We start from the raw sequence: 23507 nt of genomic DNA, 5'->3' as shown, positions 1-23507 counted from the left end.
AAGAGAGTAAGACAGAAGATAGGCACAGAGAGAGAGAGAGACAGACAGACAGAGAAAGAGAGAGAGAGAGAGAGAGAGAGAGACCGACAGAGAGACACAGAAAAAGAGAGAGGCAGACAGACAGAGAAAGAGACAGACAGAGAAAGACATAGACAGACAGAGAGAGACAGAAACAGACAGAAAGAGAGAGAGAGAAACAGACAGGGAGGGAGAGAGAGAGAGACAGACGGGGAGAGAAAGAGAGTAAGACAGAAGACAGACACAGTGAGACAGGCAGAGAGGGAGAGAGAGAGACAAAGACAGAGACAGAGACAGAGAGAAAGAAAGAGACAGACAGACAGAGAAAGAGACACAGAGAGAAAGACAGAGACGAACAGAGAGAAACAGACAGAGAGAAGGCCCTAGCCCAGTAGCAATACAGTGCCTTTTCTTTCATTTTCTCTTTCTTTTCTTTTCTTTTTTTCTTTCTTGTATATCTGTATGTATGTATGTATGTATGTATGTATGTGTGTGTGTGTGTGTGTGTGTGTGTGTGTATGTATGTATGTATGTATGTATTTATTTATGTACGTATTTATCTGGAGACCGGGTCTCACTCTGTCGCCAAGGCTGTAGTGCAGTGGTGCGATCTTGGGTCACTGCAACCTCCGCCTGCCAGGTTCAAGCAATTCTTCCGCCCCAGCCTCCTGAGTAGCTGGGGTTACAGGTGCCTGCCCCACGGCGCCTGACTCAATTTCGTATTTTCAGTAGAGACGGGGTTTCACCACGTTGGCCGGGCTGGTCTCGAACTCCTGACCTCGGGATGACAGACGTGAGCCACTGCGTTTAGTGTACAGTGCCATTTCTTAGAAATCACTCCTCACGGGAACACACACTTAGAGGTGACGTGTAGAGATTTTATTTATTTAGTTAGTTTAGTTAGTTAGTTTGTTAGTTAGTTAGTTAGTTATTATGTGCACGGGGAGGTGGGGGGACGGAGTTTGGCTCTTGCTGCCCAGGCTACAGTGCAATGGCCTAGGGGACTCAAGGAGTCAACCTATGGCAGAGAGGACACGTCATTCTGAGCGTAAGGGCCGCAGCGAAAGGTGGCAGGGCCCGCGCTTTTAAAGGCTGAAATCCCGGCGGCTCAGGCCTGTCGTTTCCAGCACTTTGGGAGGCCCAGGAAGGCGGATCATTTGAGGTCAGGAGTTCGAGACCAGCGTGGCCAACGTGGAGAAACCCCGTCTCTACTGAAAATAGGAATATGAGCCGGCCGTCATGGTGTGCGCCTGTAATCCCAGCTACCGAAGAAGAATCACTGGAACCCGGGAAGCAGAGGTTTCAGTGAGCCGAGAGAGCGCCACCGCACCGCAGCCTGGGTGACAGAGCGAGAGAGACTCAGTCCAAAAAAAAAAAAGAAAGAAAAGAAGAAGAAGAAGAAAAAAGAACGGGCCCAAATACTGCATTGTCGCTCAACGTTCTCCCAAAAGGCCAGAAACCCCCTGACTCAGGTCAAGGAGGTGGTGTTTCGTTTTCTCTCTCCCTCCTCTCTCTCTCTCTCTCTCTCTGTCTCTCTCTGTCTCTCTCTCTCTCTCTCTCTCCTCTCTCCCCCCTAACTTTTATTTGTCGTTCAAGCATACATGTGCAAGATTGTGACATAGGTAAACTTGTGACGGGGGTGTTCAGTGTGCAGATGATTTCATCACCCGGGTAGTCAGTGCTGTGTCCGACAGTATTCGTGTTTTGTTTTTTCCTGAAGCTGTCTCTCCTTCCACCCCTCCTCCCTCAAGCAGGCTTCCGCGTCCCCGGTCCCCCTCGTTCTGCCCATGCAAGAACTGTCATTTGTAAGTTCCCACTTCTAGATGAGAACACGCGGTATTTAGCCGATCCTTGCTGTCATCTTCGGTGGTGGTGGTGGTGAAAGAGGCATGACACTAAATCGACCCTTAGGACGCTCCCCTCCGTCCCCACCCCGCACCCCCTCCCCACACACACCCTCATTCCCGCACCCCCTCCTCAAACGCAAGAAAGGAAGAAATGAAAGTAAGAGATGAGCCTGCAAGGCGGTGGAGGCGGGGGATCTCAGAGGGCGAGCAAGCGATGGCGGTCGGGGGATGTGTCGGCTGAGGTATCAAAAATAGGGGACCCAGTTTTCAGCCCCAACACACCCCCTAATCCTCAGCCGCAGCCAGCCTCTGGGTGGGGTTGCGCCTGTCAAAGCTTCCGAATGGAGAGAAGCCCAAGGCTACGGAAGGCATCAGCTCCAACTCCAGGAAGGGAATAAGGCTCTGTGCATACGAATGGGGCTTTGAAAGGCGTTGCCGCGGCTTCCAAAGCGATGCGCTGTGCCTCGCCTCGCCTCGCCCCGCCCCGCCCAGAGCGAGACTCCGTCTGAAAATAAGTACACAAATAAATCATAAGATAATTCATCAATAAATGAAAGAAAGAAAGAAAGAAAGAAAGAAAGAAAGAAAGAAAGAAAGAAAGAAAGGATCAGTAGAGCGATGGTGGTCGTGAATCATTCCCCGGAGTCCAGGCGCAGTGGCTCACGCCCGTCACGCCAGCACTTTGAGACGCCGGGCAGGAGGGTTGCAAAGAAATGATGAGACCCCGTCTGTGGGAAAACATTTAAAAATGAAGGCCGGGCGCGGTGGCTCACGCCTGTCATCCCAGCACTTCCGGAGGCCGGGGAGGGCGGATCACCTGAGGTCGGGAGTTCGAAACCAGCCCGATCGACATGGAGAAGCCCCGTCTCCACTAAAAATACGAAATCAGCCAGACGTGGCAGCGCATGCCCGCAATCCCGGCTACTCAGGAGGCCGATGCAGGAGAATCGCTTGAAACCGGGAGGCAGAGGTTGCGGTGAGCCAAGATCGCGCCACCGCACTGCAGTCTAGGCCACGAGAGTGAAACTCTGTCTCGGGGGAAAAAAAAACAATTAAAAACGGTGTGGGCACAGTGGCGCGTGCCCGCGGTCCCAGGCTCTGTACTCTGCAGGCTGAGGTGGAAGGATCGCTCGAGTCCAGGAGCGTCCACGCTGCAGGGAGTGAGTTACGACGGCACCACTGCCGGGGTGACGGAGCGAGATGCCGTCTCTAAATCAGTCAATGAGATCACTGGAAGGCGCTCTCTGCGTCTCACTTTCCAAGAGGGTCTCTTTGGGCCAAGCAGGCATGGTGCCTCACGCCAGTCATCCCAGCACTTTGGGAGGCTGAGGCGGGAGGAAAGAAGGAAGGGAGGAAGGGAGGAAAGAAGAAAAGAAGAAAGGCAGGAAGGCAGGAAAGAAAGAGGGGAAGAGAGAAAAAGAAAGAAAGAAAGAAAGAAAGAAAGAAAGAAAGAAAGAAAGAAAAGAGAAGCAAAAAGAAGAAAAGAGAAGGGAAGAAAAGAAAAGCAAATGGGGAAGGGGCATATCTCCTTGACCGGTGACTGCCCAGGATACAGTGGGTCACGGCCGACCGAAGCCTCGACCTGTGGGGCCTCAAGTGATCTTCTCCTCGTCTCAGCCTCCCGAGTAGCCGCGACTACAGGCGGCCATCACCGCGCACAACTCATCTTATAATAACATCATGATTCTCTCGAGACGGGGTCTCGCTCCGTCATCCAGGCCGCATCGCCACGGCACGATCTCAGCTCATCGCAACCTCGGCCTCCCCGGTTGGAACAAGTCGCCCGCCCCAGTCTCCCGAGCGGTCGTGATTCCAAGCCCACGCCACCAGGCCCGGCTAATCGTTCTATTTTTCAGAGAGACGGGGTTTCGCCACGTCGGCCAGCCTGGTCTCGAACTCCCGGCCCCAAGCGATCCACCCGCCTCGGCCTCCCAAAGTGCCGGAGTGACAGGCGTGAGCTAGCGTGCCCGGCCCAGATCATCTTTTTCATAAATTGTAGAGAAGGGGTTTCGTCAGCCAACGGGTGGAGGGTGGGGCGGGTTTTACTCAGCCTGCGTACTGTGAAAAGGGGAAGTGAGTGTGCTCTGTGAACTAGATATGGAAATTGTGTGTGTGTGTGCGCGCGTGCGCGTGCGAGAGAGAGAGAGAGAGAGAGACCAATCCCACCACGAGGACCCGGAAATAGTGTTTGATCTGTGTCCCTGCCTAGTCACCTGTCTTGTGTGTCGATGACTGAGGATTCCACAAATGAAGGTCAGCGGTATCTATTGAGCTGTTTCTCCCTCTCGTGCGTCTCATCTGTGTGCTGGAGAAAGGGAAGAGAAGAGGTTCCGATGGGAAGTTGTCTTCACGCCTGAGGCAGCTGAAGGCAGACCGAAGGGAAGGAGGGCATCCTAGGTGACATTTCCATACCCACGCACCCTTTACAATGCTGGGGCTGCCAGTCCACCCTGTACGTCAACCCACCCCCAAGAACAGCACGGTCCGGGGTGGTCCAGTCTGATCCCAACCGGCCCACCCGGGGCATCCGGTGGAAGTCTTCGCCGGAGGATCCGAAGGCAGCATCAACGCGGTTCCCCTGGGGTCGCCCGGCAAAGGCCAGCTGGGGGAGGGTAGCGGGACGTGACGGGGGGGTGGGGGTCGCATCCGCCTCAGAGCTCCCTGGAAGGTGGCAGGTAGCCGGTGGGGCACGCCGAGCCAGAGACGTCCGGCAGGATATAGATCTGGAAGGCGTGTCAGTCCTCTCCCATACCTCTCCTATGGAAAATGCCAGGGCGGCGGTGGGAGCCTCGGCTGGGGGAGAAGCGGGGACAAGGGGGAGAGGGAAGGAGGCCCTCGGGAGGTTTCGGCACCGAAAACCCACTCAGCCAAGCTCCCTCCGTGTTTCCGGGTCCAAGGTACACCCCGGGAGACGGCAAGAGAAACGTTCACACCGTGCTTTCCGTCTTCGTGTTTATTTCTTTCATCTTTTCCATTTTACGAGAGATGCTCATTTCAACAACCAGACGGCGGATGTGACGGGAGAAGCGTCAAGGCCAGGAGTTTGAGACCAGCGTGAGCAACAGAGCAACACAAGTAGGAGAGCCCAGCTGAAAGAAATGAAAGAGGAGGAGGAGGAGGAGGAGGAGGAGGAGGAGGAGGACGACAAGGGGGGGTGGGGGGGGGAGGAGAAGGAAAGAAAAGAAAAGAAAAAAAAAGAAAAAGGAAAACAACCACCACCAAGAAAGTTAAGATTCTCCAACGGTCGGAAGTTGAAGACCAGCCTGACCAAGATGGAGAAACCCCATCTGTACTAAAAATAGAAAAATTAGCCGGGCACGATGGCTCATCTCTGTCATTCCAGCTACTCGGGAAGGCTGAGGCAGGAGAATCACTTGAACCTGGGAGGCGGAGGGTGCGGTGAGCCGAGAGCCGCCATCGTACTCCACCCTGGGCGACAAGAGTGAAACTCCGTCTAAAGAGAATAAAAAGAAAGAACGAAAAGGCGGATCGGTGAGATGCGTCTGAAAATTTTCTTCGTTCGCAGTCCCCGTATTAAAAACGGAAAGAACCGACCCACGACAAACACGACCAGAGCGTACCGTGCCCACGCGTGTCATCACAGCACTCCGGGAGGCCGATGCGGGAGGATCTCTGGAGCCTAAAAGTTCGAGATCACCTCGACACGTGAGATGACGCCTACAATAATAATAATCATAGAAGTTTGAAAAGAGACCACGTGTGCCCAGAGCATGGACAATAAAGCGAGAGCACATCCGTACTAAAAAGAAGACGATTGATAGGCAGGCAGGCAGGCAGGCAGGCAGGCAGGCAGGCAGGCAGGCAGGCAGGCAGGCAGGCAGGCAAATGTAGAAGGAGCCAGGCGCAGCGTCTCACGCCTGTAATAGCAGCAGTGTGGGCGGCCGAGGCAGGCAGGCGGATTGCTTGAGGACAGGAGTTCGAGACCAGCGTGGGCAACATGATAGAACCCCGAAACCCATCTCACTCACATACATACATACATACGTACATACATAGATATACACACACACACACACACACACACACACACACACACACACACATACCTACCTACGGAAAACATGAGAAACAACATAAAAGTCAGCCGGTGTGGTGGTGCGCGCCTGTAGTCTCAGGTAATGGGGATGGGAGGGATCAGAGGCAGAACGACCGTTTGGTCGGTCCAAAGCGTTGAGGTTGGGGTGATCCTGGGCGGCAGAGACAGAGGAAGACCCTGCCAGTAAGGGAGGGAAGGAAGGAAGGAAGGAAGGAAGGAAGGAAGGAAGGAAGGAAGGAAGGAAATAAACAGGCAAGCAGGCAAGCAAACGATGAACGTGACAATGACACAGAAGAACCCATGAGAATAAACGAGCAAATAACAGGGTATGAATGAAGCTAAAAGGCAATTGAGATCGCAATCAATCGTTTTCTCTGCACCCCACCCCACCCCACCCCACCCCACCCCACCCCACCCCACCCCACCGCAGCCCACGTAAGCTGGAGTGGAAGTGTGCGATCACAGCCCACGTTAACCTCTCCCTCCCGGGCTTAAGAGATCCCTGTAGTCCCAGCTATTTGGGAGGCTGAGGTCACCAGAGCGCAGAGACAGAAGACCAGGCGGGCCGGCCCCAAAAGAAAAGAAAATAAATAAACGAAAATTATTAATAAATAATGAATGAAGGAAGGGAGGAAGGATATACATACACGTGTATGTAAATGAAATGGGGCTTCGATACATATTCATCCATTAAAAGTAACATAATATAAACGTATTAATTATGGAAATATCATTTACATAGTTTTATCACTACGGGGTGTGTGTGTGTGTGTGTGTGTGTGTGTGTGTGTGTATGTGTAGATGTATGTTCATACACGGCAGCGTTCAGAAAATAAGATTGAAAAAAGGAAGGAATCGGCCGGGCATGGTGGCTCACATCTGTACTCCCAGCAGTCTTTGGGAGGCCGAGGCGGGCGGATCACTAGGTCGGGAGTTCGAGACCAGCCCGGCCAAAATGGTGAAATTACGTCTTTACTCGAAATAGAAAACTTGCTGTTTGCTTGAACCGTGGAGGCAGAGGCAGCAGCAGCAGCGAGCCGAGAAGGCACCAAGGAGGGAGGGAGGGGAGAGAGACAGAGAGAGAGAGAGAGAGAGAGAGAGAGAGAGAAAGAAAGAAAGAAAGAAAGAAAGAAAGAAAGAAAGAAAGAAAACGCAAGGCAAAACCAAAAAGCAAAAAAGGAGGAAGCATTACTGGCTGACGGCAGCAGTGACTCCCTCTTAAAAGTCCCGCGGACGCAAACTCGCAGTGGGGCTGAAAAAAATGTAGGAGAGGGAGTTCCGCGTGGTCCCAGCTCCACCGCGGGCCGAGGCCGGTGGAGGTCGCCGGCGCGTGAACCGGAGTCGACGCCCTCGCGTCGGTGCGCCGCAGCGTCCGGCGGCCGCCTGCTGGTCGACCCGGGACACGTGCAGGCGCCGGCTAAGTCCAGAGCTCGCGGGCGGCAGCTGGTCGACCCCGGAGGTGCCGACCGAGACGGGGACGCTCCGGTTGCGGTTCGTCCCGACGGGCACTCTTACACGCCGCTCGGTGGAGAAGGCCCGCCGGTCGACCCGGGACACGGCGAGACAGCGGCTAAGTCTCAAGAGCCGAGAAGGCACCAAGGAAGGGGAGAGAGGGAGGGAGGGGGAGAGAGAGAGAGAGAGAGAGAGACAGAGAGAGACAGAGAGAAAGAGAGAGAGAGAGAGGGCGAGAGCGAGAGACAGAGAGAGAGAGAGAGAGAGAAAGAGAAAGAGAAAGAAAACGAGCGAGGGAGAGAGCGAGAGAGCGAGAGCGAGAGCGAGAAAGAAAGAAAGAAAGAAAGAAAGAAAGAAAGAAAGAAAGAAAAAAAAAAAAAAAAAAAAAAGGCAAGACAAAACCTAAAAGCAAAAAAGGAGGAAGCAGTACTGGCTGACGGCAGCAGTGACTCCCTCTTAAAAGTCCCGCGGACGCAAACTCGCAGTGGGGCTGAAAAAAATGTAGGAGAGGGAGTTCCGCGTGGTCCCAGCTCCACGGCGGGCCGAGGCCGGTGGAGGTCGCGGGCGCGTGAACGGGAATCAGCGCCCTCGCGTCGGTGCGCCGCAGCGTCCGGCGGCCGCCTGCTGGTCGACCCGGGACACGTGCAGACGCCGGCTAAGTCCGGAGCTCGCGGGCGGCAGCTGGTCGACCCCGGAGGTGCCGACCGAGACGGGGACGCGGCGGGTCCGGCTCGTCCCGACGGGCACTCTTACACGCCGCTCGGTGGAGAAGGCCCGCCGGTCGACCCGGGACACGGCGAGACAGCGGCTAAGTCTCAAGAGCCGAGAAGGCACCAAGGAAGGGGAGAGAGGGAGGGAGGGGGAGAGAGAGAGAGAGAGAGAGACAGAGAGAGACAGAGAGAAAGAGAGAGAGAGAGAGGGCGAGAGCGAGAGACAGAGAGAGAGAGAGAGAAAGAGAAAGAGAAAGAAAACGAGCGAGGGAGAGAGCGAGAGAGCGAGAGCGAGAGCGAGAAAGAAAGAAAGAAAGAAAGAAAGAAAGAAAGAAAGAAAGAAAAAAAAAAAAAAAAAAAAAAAGGCAAGACAAAACCTAAAAGCAAAAAAGGAGGAAGCAGTACTGGCTGACGGCAGCAGTGACTCCCTCTTAAAAGTCCCGCGGACGCAAACTCGCAGTGGGGCTGAAAAAAATGTAGGAGAGGGAGTTCCGCGTGGTCCCAGCTCCACGGCGGGCCGAGGCCGGTGGAGGTCGCGGGCGCGTGAACGGGAATCAGCGCCCTCGCGTCGGTGCGCCGCAGCGTCCGGCGGCCGCCTGCTGGTCGACCCGGGACACGTGCAGACGCCGGCTAAGTCCGGAGCTCGCGGGCGGCAGCTGGTCGACCCCGGAGGTGCCGACCGAGACGGGGACGCGGCGGGTCCGGCTCGTCCCGACGGGCACTCTTACACGCCGCTCGGTGGAGAAGGCCCGCCGGTCGACCCGGGGCACGGCGAGACAGCGGCTAAGTCTCAAGAGCCGAGAAGGCACCAAGGAAGGGGGGGGAGGGAGGGAGGGAGGGAGGGAGGGGGGGAGGGAGGGAGAGAGAGAGACACAGACAGAGACAGAGAGAGAGCGAGAGGGCGAGAGCGACAGAGAGAGAGAGAGAGAGAGAGAGAGAGAGAGAGAGAGAGAGAGAGACAGAGAGAAAGAGAGAGAGAGAGGGCGAGAGCGAGAGACAGAGAGAGAGAGAGAGAGAGAGAGAGAGAGAAAACGAGCGAGGGAGAGAGCGAGAGAGAGAGAAAACGAGCGAGGGAGGGAGAGAGCGAGAGCGAGAAAGAAAGAAAGAAAGAAAGAAAGAAAGAAAAAAAAAAAAAAAAAAAGGCAAGACAAAACCTAAAAGCAAAAAAGGAGGAAGCATTACTGGCTGACGGCAGCAGTGACTCCCTCTTAAAAGTCCCGCGGACGCAAACTCGCGGTGGGGCTGAAAAAAATGTGGGAGAGGGAGTTCCGCGTGGTCCCAGCTCCACCGCGGGCCGAGGCCGGTGGAGGTCGCGGGCGCGCGAACGGGAATCGACGCCCTCGCGTCGGTGCGCCGCAGCGTCCGGCGGCCGCCTGCTGGTCGACCCGGGACACGTGCAGGCGCCGGCTAAGTCCGGAGCTCGCGGGCGGCAGCTGGTCGACCCCGGAGGTGCCGACCGAGACGGGGACGCTCCGGTTGCGGTTCGTCCCGACGGGCACTCCTACACGCCGCTCGGTGGAGAAGGCCCGCCGGTCGACCCGGGACACGGCGAGACGCCGGCTGAGTCTCACGCCCGCGGGCGGCAGGCGGTCGACCCCGGAGGCCCGACCGAGGAGAGGTCGCGAGCGGAGGTCGGCCGGGTGCGGGGACGCCCCGTGGGGCCTCGCCGCCCGCCGCCCGCCACCCGCGGTCTGCTGGTCGACCCGTGCGGAGGAGCGAGGAGGAAGGACGCGCGAGGGCCGGGACCCCGGGTGGCCGCCCCACCGGGGCCCGCGCGGCCAACCCCCGGGACGGGGACCGGCGGGCCACGGGCCCGGCTCGGCGCGGCCGCCTCCGCGGCTCCCAAACCACGCTCCCCGGACCCCGTCCCGGCCCGGAGCGGACGAGCCGCCCCGGCGGTGAACGGGGAGGAGGCGGGAACCGAAGAAGCGGGGCGCGCCGACCGGGGTCGCGCGCCCTCCCCCCCCCACCCCCACCACCACGCCCGCGGTCGGCGGGAGAGGCCGGGAGGGAGGAAGACGAACGGAAGGACGGACGGCGCCGGACGCGCACGCCCCGCCGGGCCCCCCGCACGCACGCGCGCGCGCGCGCGCGCGGACAAACCCTTGTGTCGAGGGCTGACTTTCAATAGATCGCAGCGAGGGAGCTGCTCTGCTACGTACGAAACCCCGACCCAGAAGCAGGTCGTCTACGAATGGTTTAGCGCCAGGTTCCCCACGAACGTGCGGTGCGTGACGGGCGAGGGGGCGGCCGCCTTTCCGGCCGCGCCCCGTTTCCCAGGACGAAGGGCACTCCGCACCGGACCCCGGTCCCGGCGCGCGGCGGGGCACGCGCCCTCCCGCGCGCGCGGGGCGCGTGGAGGGGGGGGGCGGCCCGCCGGCGGGGACAGGCGGGGGACCGGCTATCCGAGGCCAACCGAGGCTCCGCGGCGCTGCCGTATCGTTCCGCCTGGGCGGGATTCTGACTTAGAGGCGTTCAGTCATAATCCCACAGATGGTAGCTTCGCCCCATTGGCTCCTCAGCCAAGCACATACACCAAATGTCTGAACCTGCGGTTCCTCTCGTACTGAGCAGGATTACCATGGCAACAACACATCATCAGTAGGGTAAAACTAACCTGTCTCACGACGGTCTAAACCCAGCTCACGTTCCCTATTAGTGGGTGAACAATCCAACGCTTGGTGAATTCTGCTTCACAATGATAGGAAGAGCCGACATCGAAGGATCAAAAAGCGACGTCGCTATGAACGCTTGGCCGCCACAAGCCAGTTATCCCTGTGGTAACTTTTCTGACACCTCCTGCTTAAAACCCAAAAGGTCAGAAGGATCGTGAGGCCCCGCTTTCACGGTCTGTATTCGTACTGAAAATCAAGATCAAGCGAGCTTTTGCCCTTCTGCTCCACGGGAGGTTTCTGTCCTCCCTGAGCTCGCCTTAGGACACCTGCGTTACCGTTTGACAGGTGTACCGCCCCAGTCAAACTCCCCACCTGGCACTGTCCCCGGAGCGGGTCGCGCCCGGCCGGCGCGCGGCCGGGCGCTTGGCGCCAGAAGCGAGAGCCCCTCGGGGCTCGCCCCCCCGCCTCACCGGGTCAGTGAAAAAACGATCAGAGTAGTGGTATTTCACCGGCGGCCCGCAGGGCCGGCGGACCCCGCCCCGGGCCCCTCGCGGGGACACCGGGGGGGCGCCGGGGGCCTCCCACTTATTCTACACCTCTCATGTCTCTTCACCGTGCCAGACTAGAGTCAAGCTCAACAGGGTCTTCTTTCCCCGCTGATTCCGCCAAGCCCGTTCCCTTGGCTGTGGTTTCGCTGGATAGTAGGTAGGGACAGTGGGAATCTCGTTCATCCATTCATGCGCGTCACTAATTAGATGACGAGGCATTTGGCTACCTTAAGAGAGTCATAGTTACTCCCGCCGTTTACCCGCGCTTCATTGAATTTCTTCACTTTGACATTCAGAGCACTGGGCAGAAATCACATCGCGTCAACACCCGCCGCGGGCCTTCGCGATGCTTTGTTTTAATTAAACAGTCGGATTCCCCTGGTCCGCACCAGTTCTAAGTCGGCTGCTAGGCGCCGGCCGAGGCGAGGCGCCGCGCGGAACCGCGGCCCCGGGGGCGGACCCGGCGGGGGGGACCGGCCCGCGGCCCCTCCGCCGCCCGCCGCCGCCGCCGCCGCCGCGCGCCGAGGAGGAGGGGGGAACGGGGGGCGGACGGGGCCGGGGGGGTAGGGCGGGGGGACGAACCGCCCCGCCCCGCCGCCCGCCGACCGCCGCCGCCGCCCGACCGCTCCCCGCCCCCAGCGGACGCGCGCGCGACGAGACGTGGGGTGGGGGTGGGGGGGGCGCGCCGGCGCCCGCCGGGCTCCCCGGGGGCGGCCGCGACGCCCGCCGCAGCTGGGGCGATCCACGGGAAGGGCCCGGCTCGCGTCCAGAGTCGCCGCCGCCGCCGGCCCCCCGGGTGCCCGGGCCCCCCTCGCGGGGGACCGTGCCCCCGCCGCCGGGGCCCCGCGGCGGCCGCCGCCGGCCCCTGCCGCCCCGACCCTTCTCCCCCCGCCGCCGCCCCCACGCGGCGCTCCCCCGGGGAGGGGGGAGGACGGGGAGCGGGGGAGAGAGAGAGAGAGAGGGCGCGGGGTGGGGAGGGAGCGAGCGGCGCGCGCGGGGTGGGGCGGGGGAGGGCCGCGAGGGGGGTGCCCCGGGCGTGGGGGGGGCGGCGGCGCCTCGTCCAGCCGCGGCGCGCGCCCAGCCCCGCTTCGCGCCCCAGCCCGACCGACCCAGCCCTTAGAGCCAATCCTTATCCCGAAGTTACGGATCCGGCTTGCCGACTTCCCTTACCTACATTGTTCCAACATGCCAGAGGCTGTTCACCTTGGAGACCTGCTGCGGATATGGGTACGGCCCGGCGCGAGATTTACACCCTCTCCCCCGGATTTTCAAGGGCCAGCGAGAGCTCACCGGACGCCGCCGGAACCGCGACGCTTTCCAAGGCACGGGCCCCTCTCTCGGGGCGAACCCATTCCAGGGCGCCCTGCCCTTCACAAAGAAAAGAGAACTCTCCCCGGGGCTCCCGCCGGCTTCTCCGGGATCGGTCGCGTTACCGCACTGGACGCCTCGCGGCGCCCATCTCCGCCACTCCGGATTCGGGGATCTGAACCCGACTCCCTTTCGATCGGCCGAGGGCAACGGAGGCCATCGCCCGTCCCTTCGGAACGGCGCTCGCCCATCTCTCAGGACCGACTGACCCATGTTCAACTGCTGTTCACATGGAACCCTTCTCCACTTCGGCCTTCAAAGTTCTCGTTTGAATATTTGCTACTACCACCAAGATCTGCACCTGCGGCGGCTCCACCCGGGCCCGCGCCCTAGGCTTCAAGGCTCACCGCAGCGGCCCTCCTACTCGTCGCGGCGTAGCGTCCGCGGGGCTCCGGGGGCGGGGAGCGGGGCGTGGGCGGGAGGAGGGGAGGAGGCGTGGGGGGGGGGGCGGGGGAGGACCCCACACCCCCGCCGCCGCCGCCGCCGCCGCCCTCCGACGCACACCACACGCGCGCGCGCGCGCGCCGCCCCCGCCGCTCCCGTCCACTCTCGACTGCCGGCGACGGCCGGGTATGGGCCCGACGCTCCAGCGCCATCCATTTTCAGGGCTAGTTGATTCGGCAGGTGAGTTGTTACACACTCCTTAGCGGATTCCGACTTCCATGGCCACCGTCCTGCTGTCTATATCAACCAACACCTTTTCTGGGGTCTGATGAGCGTCGGCATCGGGCGCCTTAACCCGGCGTTCGGTTCATCCCGCAGCGCCAGTTCTGCTTACCAAAAGTGGCCCACTAGGCACTCGCATTCCACGCCCGGCTCCACGCCAGCGAGCCGGGCTTCTTACCCATTTAAAGTTTGAGAATAGGTTGAGATCGTTTCGGCCCCAAGACCTCTAATCATTCGCTTTACCGGATAAAACTGCGTGGCGGGGGTGCGTCGGGTCTGCGAGAGCGCCAGCTATCCTGAGGGAAACTTCGGAGGGAACCAGCTACTAGATGGTTCGATTAGTCTTTCGCCCCTATACCCAGGTCGGACGACCGATTTGCACGTCAGGACCGCTACGGACCTCCACCAGAGTTTCCTCTGGCTTCGCCCTGCCCAGGCATAGTTCACCATCTTTCGGGTCCTAACACGTGCGCTCGTGCTCCACCTCCCCGGCGCGGCGGGCGAGACGGGCCGGTGGTGCGCCCTCGGCGGACTGGAGAGGCCTCGGGATCCCACCTCGGCCGGCGAGCGCGCCGGCCTTCACCTTCATTGCGCCACGGCGGCTTTCGTGCGAGCCCCCGACTCGCGCACGTGTTAGACTCCTTGGTCCGTGTTTCAAGACGGGTCGGGTGGGTAGCCGACGTCGCCGCCGACCCCGTGCGCTCGCTCCGCCGTCCCCCTCTTCGGGGGACGCGCGCGTGGCCCCGAGAGAACCTCCCCCGGGCCCGACGGCGCGACCCGCCCGGGGCGCACTGGGGACAGTCCGCCCCGCCCCCCGACCCGCGCGCGGCACCCCCCCCGTCGCCGGGGCGGGGGCGCGGGGAGGAGGGGTGGGAGAGCGGTCGCGCCGTGGGAGGGGTGGCCCGGCCCCCCCACGAGGAGACGCCGGCGCGCCCCCGCGGGGGAGACCCCCCTCGCGGGGGATTCCCCGCGGGGGTGGGCGCCGGGAGGGGGGAGAGCGCGGCGACGGGTCTCGCTCCCTCGGCCCCGGGATTCGGCGAGTGCTGCTGCCGGGGGGGCTGTAACACTCGGGGGGGGTTTCGGTCCCGCCGCCGCCGCCGCCGCCGCCACCGCCGCCGCCGCCGCCGCCCCGACCCGCGCGCCCTCCCGAGGGAGGACGCGGGGCCGGGGGGCGGAGACGGGGGAGGAGGAGGACGGACGGACGGACGGACGGGGCCCCCCGAGCCACCTTCCCCGCCGGGCCTTCCCAGCCGTCCCGGAGCCGGTCGCGGCGCACCGCCGCGGTGGAAATGCGCCCGGCGGCGGCCGGTCGCCGGTCGGGGGACGGTCCCCCGCCGACCCCACCCCCGGCCCCGCCCGCCCACCCCCGCACCCGCCGGAGCCCGCCCCCTCCGGGGAGGAGGAGGAGGGGCGGCGGGGGAAGGGAGGGCGGGTGGAGGGGTCGGGAGGAACGGGGGGCGGGAAAGATCCGCCGGGCCGCCGACACGGCCGGACCCGCCGCCGGGTTGAATCCTCCGGGCGGACTGCGCGGACCCCACCCGTTTACCTCTTAACGGTTTCACGCCCTCTTGAACTCTCTCTTCAAAGTTCTTTTCAACTTTCCCTTACGGTACTTGTTGACTATCGGTCTCGTGCCGGTATTTAGCCTTAGATGGAGTTTACCACCCGCTTTGGGCTGCATTCCCAAGCAACCCGACTCCGGGAAGACCCGGGCCCGGCGCGCCGGGGGCCGCTACCGGCCTCACACCGTCCACGGGCTGGGCCTCGATCAGAAGGACTTGGGCCCCCCACGAGCGGCGCCGGGGAGCGGGTCTTCCGTACGCCACATGTCCCGCGCCCCGCCGCGGGGCGGGGATTCGGCGCTGGGCTCTTCCCTGTTCACTCGCCGTTACTGAGGGAATCCTGGTTAGTTTCTTCTCCTCCGCTGACTAATATGCTTAAATTCAGCGGGTCGCCACGTCTGATCTGAGGTCGCGTCTCGGAGGGGGACGGGCCGCTCGGCGGACGGACGGACGGAATCGCGCCGGCCCGACCGCCCGCCCGACGCTCCGTCGGGAGACGGGCCCGGCGAGGGGGAGAGGCGACGGGAGAGAGAGCGCGCGGCCGACGGCACCCCCGCGCCGCCCCGCCGGAGCGGGACGACCGGAGGGAGGGGCACGGGCCGGGGGCGGGACGGGCGCCGCACGCCCCGACCCGTCTCCCCCGCGGAGGTCGGGGGGACGGGTCCGAGGACGCGGCGGCGGAGCCGCCCCGCCCCGACGCGGAAGCTCGGGACGGGGCCCCGGCGCGGCGCGGCGCGGCCGCGAGCCGGAGGCGGGCGCGCGACGGCGGACGACACCGCGGCGTCCCGCGGGTCGCCGCCGGGGACACGCGAACCCCGGCGCCGCGGCCACGGGCGCGGCCGGGCGGGCCGCGGGGCGGGCTCCCGGCCCCGGCCGACGCGCCGCGAGGCGAGCCGGGCGGGCGGGCGCGCGCGCGTACGCGCGGGGAGGGCGAGGAGGACGGGCGGGGCCTCGGAGGAGGGGCGGCGGGGAGGAGGAGGGGCGCGGGAGCGGCGGTCGGCCGGACGCCGGGCCGCCACCGGGGGCGGGCGGCGAACCGCGGCGACCGGGACGCGCTCCCCCGACCCTCTCTCCCCGCCGGCACCCTTCCCCTTCCGGACCCGCCTTCCTCCTCCCCCACCACCACACCGCACGCAACACGCCCCCACCGCCGACGACGCGCGACGACGACGACGACGACGGGCACGGGACCTTCCACCCGGCCGGGGCCGACGAACCCCGAACCCCGAGCCGCGCGCGGCGCGAGGGAGCCCCCCGAGGGAGGAACCCGGACCGCAGGCGGCGGCCACGGGAACTCGGCCCGAGCCGGCTCTCTCTTTCCCTCTCCGTCTTCGCGGGCGGCGGCGGCGCCGCCCTCCCCGTCTCTCTCAGCCGGGCGCGCCCCCCTCTCCCCCCCGCCACCCGACGCGTGACCACGCAGGGCCCGCGGGGGGAGGGGGAAGGGGCGGGCGCGGCGGCAAGGGGAGGGCGGACGCCGCCGGGTCTGCGCTTAGGGGGACGGAGGGCCCCCGGCGGGCCCTGCGAGGGAACCCCCAGCCGCGCACCCCGAGGAGCCCGGAGGCACCCCCGGGGGCGATTGATCGGCAAGCGACGCTCAGACAGGCGTAGCCCCGGGAGGAACCCGGGGCCGCAAGTGCGTTCGAAGTGTCGATGATCAATGTGTCCTGCAATTCACATTAATTCTCGCAGCTAGCTGCGTTCTTCATCGACGCACGAGCCGAGTGATCCACCGCTAAGAGTCGTACGAGGTCGATTTGGCGAGGGCGCTCCCGACGACGCACCGGGAGGAGGCCCTTCCTGGCGCGGCACGTCCCCCCCCCCCCGCCCAAGAGGAGAGGGGGTTGCCTCAGGCCGGCCAGACGAGACAGCGAACGGGACCGGACTCCGGAGAGGGGTCGGAAGGTTTCACACCACGGGGAGGCGCGCGCCGCCCACGCGGGGGCGAGCGCGGACACCACCCCACAGGCGCCCGGGGGTTCCCGCCCCCACGGCGCGGGGCGCACGCCACACGCGCGGCAGGCGCGCGACGGCCGCCGGGTAAAGCCCCCACCCGACGGCCGCCGCGGCGTCGGCGGCGGCGCGGCCCCGGCCGGGGAGCGGAGTCCGCGGTGGAGGCGCGGGAGGGGCCGGGCCCCTCCCGACGGGACTCCCCCGCGGGCCCACCACCGCCCCCGACCCACGGGCGGACGGGCGATCCCCCCAAGGGGTCTTTAAACCTCCGCGCCGGAACGCGCTAGGTACCTGGACGGCGGGGGGGCGGACGAGGAGGCGGGGGAGGGGACCGGCGTCCGGCCCCCGACCCTCGAGACGCCCTAGCGGGAAGGCCGGGGAGAGCGAGCGGGGCCGTGCCCGGCGGCGCGGAGCGGCGCGGCGGAGGCGACGGGAATCCGGCCGGCCCCGAAGACGGGGAGCCGGCGCGGCGGGGCCGGACGACGGGCCCCGGCGGGGAGGAGGGCACCGAGACCCCCCCAGACCCGCCGCGACGCCGCCGAGAACCGCCCCCGCGCCCGCCGACACCCACGTCGTCGGGGCCGCGGCCGGGGACCGCTCCCCGCCGCCCGCCGGCCCCACGACACGCGCACACCAACGACACGCCCTTCTTTCTCTCTCTCTCTCTCTCTCTCTCCCCCCCGTCTCCCTCCCGAGTTCTCCGGCTCTCGCGGCCGGCGGGGCCGGGCGGCGAACGAACGAGCGAGCGAACGAACGGGCACGCGGGCCCCGCCCGCGCACGCGCCGCGTCGCGGTGGGGGGGTGGGTGTGCGGAGGGAAGCGCGCGGCGGCGGCGGCGCCGCCGCGGGCCTCGCCCTCCGGGCTCCGTTAATGATCCTTCCGCAGGTTCACCTACGGAAACCTTGTTACGACTTTTACTTCCTCTAGATAGTCAAGTTCGACCGTCTTCTCAGCGCTCCGCCAGGGCCGTGGGCCGACCCCGGCGGGGCCGATCCGAGGGCCTCACTAAACCATCCAATCGGTAGTAGCGACGGGCGGTGTGTACAAAGGGCAGGGACTTAATCAACGCAAGCTTATGACCCGCACTTACTGGGAATTCCTCGTTCATGGGGAATAATTGCAATCCCCGATCCCCATCACGAATGGGGTTCAACGGGTTACCCGCGCCTGCCGGCGTAGGGTAGGCACACGCTGAGCCAGTCAGTGTAGCGCGCGTGCAGCCCCGGACATCTAAGGGCATCACAGACCTGTTATTGCTCAATCTCGGGTGGCTGAACGCCACTTGTCCCTCTAAGAAGTTGGGGGACGCCGACCGCTCGGGGGTCGCGTAACTAGTTAGCATGCCAGAGTCTCGTTCGTTATCGGAATTAACCAGACAAATCGCTCCACCAACTAAGAACGGCCATGCACCACCACCCACGGAATCGAGAAAGAGCTATCAATCTGTCAATCCTGTCCGTGTCCGGGCCGGGTGAGGTTTCCCGTGTTGAGTCAAATTAAGCCGCAGGCTCCACTCCTGGTGGTGCCCTTCCGTCAATTCCTTTAAGTTTCAGCTTTGCAACCATACTCCCCCCGGAACCCAAAGACTTTGGTTTCCCGGAAGCTGCCCGGCGGGTCATGGGAATAACGCCGCCGCATCGCCGGTCGGCATCGTTTATGGTCGGAACTACGACGGTATCTGATCGTCTTCGAACCTCCGACTTTCGTTCTTGATTAATGAAAACATTCTTGGCAAATGCTTTCGCTCTGGTCCGTCTTGCGCCGGTCCAAGAATTTCACCTCTAGCGGCGCAATACGAATGCCCCCGGCCGTCCCTCTTAATCATGGCCTCAGTTCCGAAAACCAACAAAATAGAACCGCGGTCCTATTCCATTATTCCTAGCTGCGGTATCCAGGCGGCTCGGGCCTGCTTTGAACACTCTAATTTTTTCAAAGTAAACGCTTCGGGCCCCGCGGGACACTCAGCTAAGAGCATCGAGGGGGCGCCGAGAGGCAAGGGGCGGGGACGGGCGGTGGCTCGCCTCGCGGCGGACCGCCCGCCCGCTCCCAAGATCCAACTACGAGCTTTTTAACTGCAGCAACTTTAATATACGCTATTGGAGCTGGAATTACCGCGGCTGCTGGCACCAGACTTGCCCTCCAATGGATCCTCGTTAAAGGATTTAAAGTGGACTCATTCCAATTACAGGGCCTCGAAAGAGTCCTGTATTGTTATTTTTCGTCACTACCTCCCCGGGTCGGGAGTGGGTAATTTGCGCGCCTGCTGCCTTCCTTGGATGTGGTAGCCGTTTCTCAGGCTCCCTCTCCGGAATCGAACCCTGATTCCCCGTCACCCGTGGTCACCATGGTAGGCACGGCGACTACCATCGAAAGTTGATAGGGCAGACGTTCGAATGGGTCGTCGCCGCCACGGGGGGCGTGCGATCGGCCCGAGGTTATCTAGAGTCACCAAAGCCGCCGGCGCCCGCCCCCCGGCCGGGGCCGGAGAGGGGCTGACCGGGTTGGTTTTGATCTGATAAATGCACGCATCCCCCCCGCGAAGGGGGTCAGCGCCCGTCGGCATGTATTAGCTCTAGAATTACCACAGTTATCCAAGTAGGAGAGGAGCGAGCGACCAAAGGAACCATAACTGATTTAATGAGCCATTCGCAGTTTCACTGTACCGGCCGTGCGTACTTAGACATGCATGGCTTAATCTTTGAGACAAGCATATGCTACTGGCAGGATCAACCAGGTAGGTAAGGTAGAGCGCGGCGAGGCCCCGACGCGGCCGGACGGCCGGCCGGGGGGCCTCGCGAGGACGGGCCCGGCGCCCCGCAAGCGAGGAGGACGACGGACGGACGGACGGACGGGCCGCGGACGGGCGGACGGGAGGGAGCGAGCGGGCGCGGGGGCGGCGGCCGGGACCGGTGGGGCCGGGGCGGGGCGCGGCGAACCGGACGCCCCAACCACCCGCCCCCCACGCGACACGACCACCGGGGCCCCGCGCCACAGACCCGCGACGCTTCTTCGTCGCGCCCGCCCGCGAGGAGGCGGACGGCCCGACCCGCGCCCGGCGGCCGGGAGGGACCGGCGGCCACGCGCGCGCGCGCGCGGCCGGCGCCCGCGGGCGGCGGCGAGGCGGGGACGGCGCTCCGCCCGCCCCGCGGGGCGGCCCCGACGTCCGGGCGGCGAGCGAGAGGCGGACCGCGGTGCCCGGCCCGGGGACAGTCGCGCCGTGCGGCCGCAGCGCCCGCGCACCGGTCCCGGTCGAGGGCCCGGGGCCCGGCCGAAGCCCGGCTCCGAGCCCCGCCGGCGGGCGCGGGCGCAGGGGTGGCACACGCCACACGACGGCCAAGGGAGGGCGACCGAGGCCGGCCGGCGCGCCCGCCCCCGCCCGGGACGGGGGACCGCGACCGGGGCCGAGGCCCCGGCCCGGGCCCCACCCCCCGACCCGGGGAGAGGGCGAGCGACCGGCAAGGCGGAGGTCGACCCACGCCACACGTCGCACGAACGCCTGTCCGGGAGGGACCACCGGGCCGCGCTCGGGCGCACGCGCGCGCCGAACGGGGCGACGCCACGCGGGGAGGACGGGCTCTCCCCGACGCCGACGCCCGGGACGGACGCCTCGGGGAAGGGCCGCGGCAGGCCCGGGAAGCGAGGCGCACCCGGGGGACGCGCCGACCCGGTTCGGAAGAGCGGGCCGGGAGAAGACGAGAGACCACGGGCGAGGCCGGGGCGACGGGGAAGGCGCGAGAAAGGCGGCCGGCGGGGAAGGGGACGCCACGGGGACCCCTCGAGCGCGGCCGACCGCAGCCGGGACGCACGCGCGGGGCCTCACCGCCGCCGGCGGCACCGCGCGGCACCCGGGGCGGCCGACCGGCCCTCGGCGATCCCCGCGGCTCCCCCCACCACCGCCGCCGCGGTCGCGGCCGGTCCCCCGGAACCGTCTCCTCCCCCGCACGCGCCGCAGGCCGACCCCCGGAACCCTCCGGGAAGCCCACCGGGCCCCACGCGGGGCGCCACCGACCCGGTCCCCAAGGCGCGCGCCGGGGGACGCGGACGCCGGGCCGATCAGTGGCCGGCGGCGGCGCCCCACGAGGCGGTGCCGGGTTCGGTCCCAGGCGGGGCCACCAACGGACGTGAAGCCGGTGAGCCGCTCGGGGGGAAGAAGAGGATCGGCGGGCGGCGGGCGGGGAAGAGGGCACAGACGGGCGAGGGCCGGGGACCGCGAGGGCAAGGGCACCCGGGAGCCCGCAGAGGCGGCGGCTCGGGGAGAAACCTCAGGCACGGCCGGGCCACCAGGAAAACACGGCCGCGGGATCCCACCGCCACAGACACGAGGGCGGTCCCGCGGCGCCCCGCCTGGGACGCCGGACGGCCCTCGGCCCCCACCGAGAACCGCCTCGCGAGCCCCGGGGCCCCGCCACCGGGGGCCCCGGAGCGACCGCAGCCACGAACCCGACACGCCACCACCACCGTCGCTCGTGATTCTCGTCCATCCTCCGACCCGGTCCCGCTCCGGGAGACCGGCGCGCCCCCACCGTGGGACGCTTTCCCAGGGCCAGGCGGGCCCGACCCCGTGCCACGCAAACGCGGTCGTCGGCACCGGTCACGACTCGGCACGGGAGCGGGCGGAGAGCCGACTCGCGGCGGAGGGAGTCACGCGCCGGACAGAGCGCCGGGCGCGCACACCCACCGCCCGCCGGCCGCCGCGTCCCAACCCGCTGGGACGCCGGGCCCGGCCCGGCGGGATCCTCCCCCGACTCGGAAGGGGGAGGCGCGGGCCACAGTAGGCGACGAGCCGCACTCGGCCACCACCGCGGTGGCCGGCGGAACCCTCGCTTCTCCCCCCCAACCCCGTCGAGGGGGAAGCGGAGGAGGGTCCTCTGCGAGCGGGTCGCTACGGCAGCGCTACCATAACGGAGGCAGAGACAGAGGCGGCGGCCCGGGGGATCCGGTACCCCCAAGGCACGCCTCTCAGATCGCTAGAGAAGGCTTTTCTCACCGAGGGTGGGTCACACTCCCCCCACCCGCCAGCCGCTCCTCCTCGGGCCCGCAGAGGCGCCGAGGGACGCCTGGGGAAGGGAGGGGGCCCTGCGGTACGAGGAAACACCTGCGCGCGGCCACCTCGAGCGTTCGCGTTCAGGGCGGGGGCCCGGCCGGTGCGCGCGTGCGCGCAACCCCACCAGGCCCCCCCGTCCACCCACCTCCTTCCTTCCGAGGCAGAGCGCCTCCGAAGTCAACCCACACACGACCGGTCGGAGGCAGAACGGCAGCCCCTCGGCGGCCGGCCGGCGCACGCGTCACACCGGCCCGAACCCACCGCGATCGCTCACACGGCCCGCGCGCACCCGCCAGAGGGGAGCACGGGACGTGCGCTCACCGAGAGCAGGCGGGCGCCCTTCCCCGCGTGGGAGGGGCGCGTCTCGTCTCGTCTCACTCAAACCGCCTCGAACCCCACACCGACGAGCTCCCTCAGGACCCACGCGCGGACACCGCGGCGGCGACCGGAGGAGGGGGCGCCGGGGGCGGGAACGACACACCACCGTTCGGCCTCGGGCACCTGAGGGACAACCCGGAGCGCTCCAGGAGCACCGCAAGGGCCCAGGCGGAGCCGACGCTCGCGCAAACCCCCCGAGAGGGCAGCACGACGGGCCGGCGGGACGGCACCCCCACCGCCGCGGAGGGGGGCCGCCCGCAAGTCGACAACCACTGGAGGCGACAGCGAGGGCTGTCTGCCGCGTCAGAGGACCCCGCCGGCCCGCACCCGCGACGCAGAAGGCGGCGGGCGGGACGGCGAGGTCGGGCCGGGGTCCGCACCCCACGCCTTCCCACACGCACCGCCGGCGGGCGGGGAGAGGAGAGACGAGGGGACCCCCGCGGGGCGGAGCGAGAAGGACGGTCCCGTTCGCCACGAACGTCCGCCCCTCGCCCGTCGCGGCTCGGACCCGGCCCGGGAGAGCACGACGTCACCACATCGATCACGAAGAGCCCCCCGGGAGCGGAGGCCGGCCGGCCGGCCAGCGAGCCGATCGGCTCCGGCCAACCCCCCACTCCGGGGAAGGGGCGGCGGACAACCCCGCGGAGACGAGAACGCCTGACACGCACGGCACGGAGCCAGCGGGGTGGGGTTGTCGCGGCCGCCCCGGGCGCCCGCAGCGGAGAGCGCACGGGGGCACGGTGGCCCTCGCCGCCTTCCCCGCCGCCCCCGGGTGGGTCAGAGACCCGGACCCGGGCCGGCACCGGGAGTCGGGACGCTCGGACGCGCGAGAGAACAGCAGGCCCGCGGGCCCCGGCAGGCGGCTCAAGCAGGAGCGCGGCCGGCTAGCCGGGTCACCGGTAGGCCAGAGCCCCGCGCGCATCCGGAGGCCCAACCTCTCCAGCGACAGGTCGCCAGAGGACAGCGTGTCAGCAATAACCCGGCGGCCCAAAATGCCGACTCGGAGCGAAAGATATACCTCCCCCGGGGCCGGGAGGTCGCGTCACCGACCACGCCGCCGGCCCAGGCGACGCGCGACACGGACACCTGTCCCCAAAAACGCCACCATCGCAGCCACACACGGAGCGCCCGGGGCCCTCTGGTCAACCCCAGGACACACGCGGGAGCAGCGCCGGGCCGGGGACGCCCTCCCGGCCGCCCGTGCCACACGCAGGGGGCCGGCCCGTGTCTCCAGAGCGGGAGCCGGAAGCATTTTCGGCCGGCCCCTCCTACGACCGGGACACACGAGGGAC

At 65.6% G+C, this 23507-nt stretch overlaps 2 long non-coding RNA genes and 4 other non-coding genes across 6 annotated transcripts; all 6 read right to left on the bottom strand.

The window, feature by feature from the left end:
- Positions 1-1994: 1994 nt before the first annotated feature.
- LOC107987393 (uncharacterized) lies at positions 1995-4482 on the bottom strand. Its single transcript, XR_001756152.2, has 3 exons — positions 4332-4482; positions 4079-4170; positions 1995-2370 (listed from the first exon to the last, which is right to left on the bottom strand). It is a non-coding gene; the product is annotated as an uncharacterized LOC107987393 (long non-coding RNA).
- Positions 4483-4803: 321 nt separating this feature from the next.
- On the bottom strand, positions 4804-7508 carry LOC105379549 (uncharacterized). The gene is made up of 3 exons (XR_951367.3): positions 5937-7508; positions 5447-5543; positions 4804-5319 (listed from the first exon to the last, which is right to left on the bottom strand). It is a non-coding gene; the product is annotated as an uncharacterized LOC105379549 (long non-coding RNA).
- Positions 7509-9815: 2307 nt separating this feature from the next.
- RNA45SN4 (RNA, 45S pre-ribosomal N4) lies at positions 9816-23188 on the bottom strand. Its single transcript, NR_146117.1, has one exon. It is a non-coding gene; the product is annotated as an RNA, 45S pre-ribosomal N4 (ribosomal RNA).
- RNA28SN4 (RNA, 28S ribosomal N4) lies at positions 10181-15257 on the bottom strand. Its single transcript, NR_146118.1, has one exon. It is a non-coding gene; the product is annotated as an RNA, 28S ribosomal RNA N4 (ribosomal RNA).
- Positions 16429-16584, bottom strand: RNA5-8SN4 (RNA, 5.8S ribosomal N4). The gene has a single exon (NR_146120.1). It is a non-coding gene; the product is annotated as an RNA, 5.8S ribosomal RNA N4 (ribosomal RNA).
- On the bottom strand, positions 17662-19530 carry RNA18SN4 (RNA, 18S ribosomal N4). The gene has a single exon (NR_146119.1). It is a non-coding gene; the product is annotated as an RNA, 18S ribosomal RNA N4 (ribosomal RNA).
- Positions 23189-23507: the final 319 nt, after the last annotated feature.

This window comes from Homo sapiens (genome assembly GCF_000001405.40).
Source record: "Homo sapiens chromosome 22 unlocalized genomic scaffold, GRCh38.p14 Primary Assembly HSCHR22_UNLOCALIZED_CTG3".
NCBI lineage: Eukaryota > Metazoa > Chordata > Mammalia > Primates > Hominidae > Homo > Homo sapiens.
The sequence above is the reverse complement of the archived record's forward strand: the minus strand, read 5'-3'. Positions and strand labels throughout refer to the sequence as shown.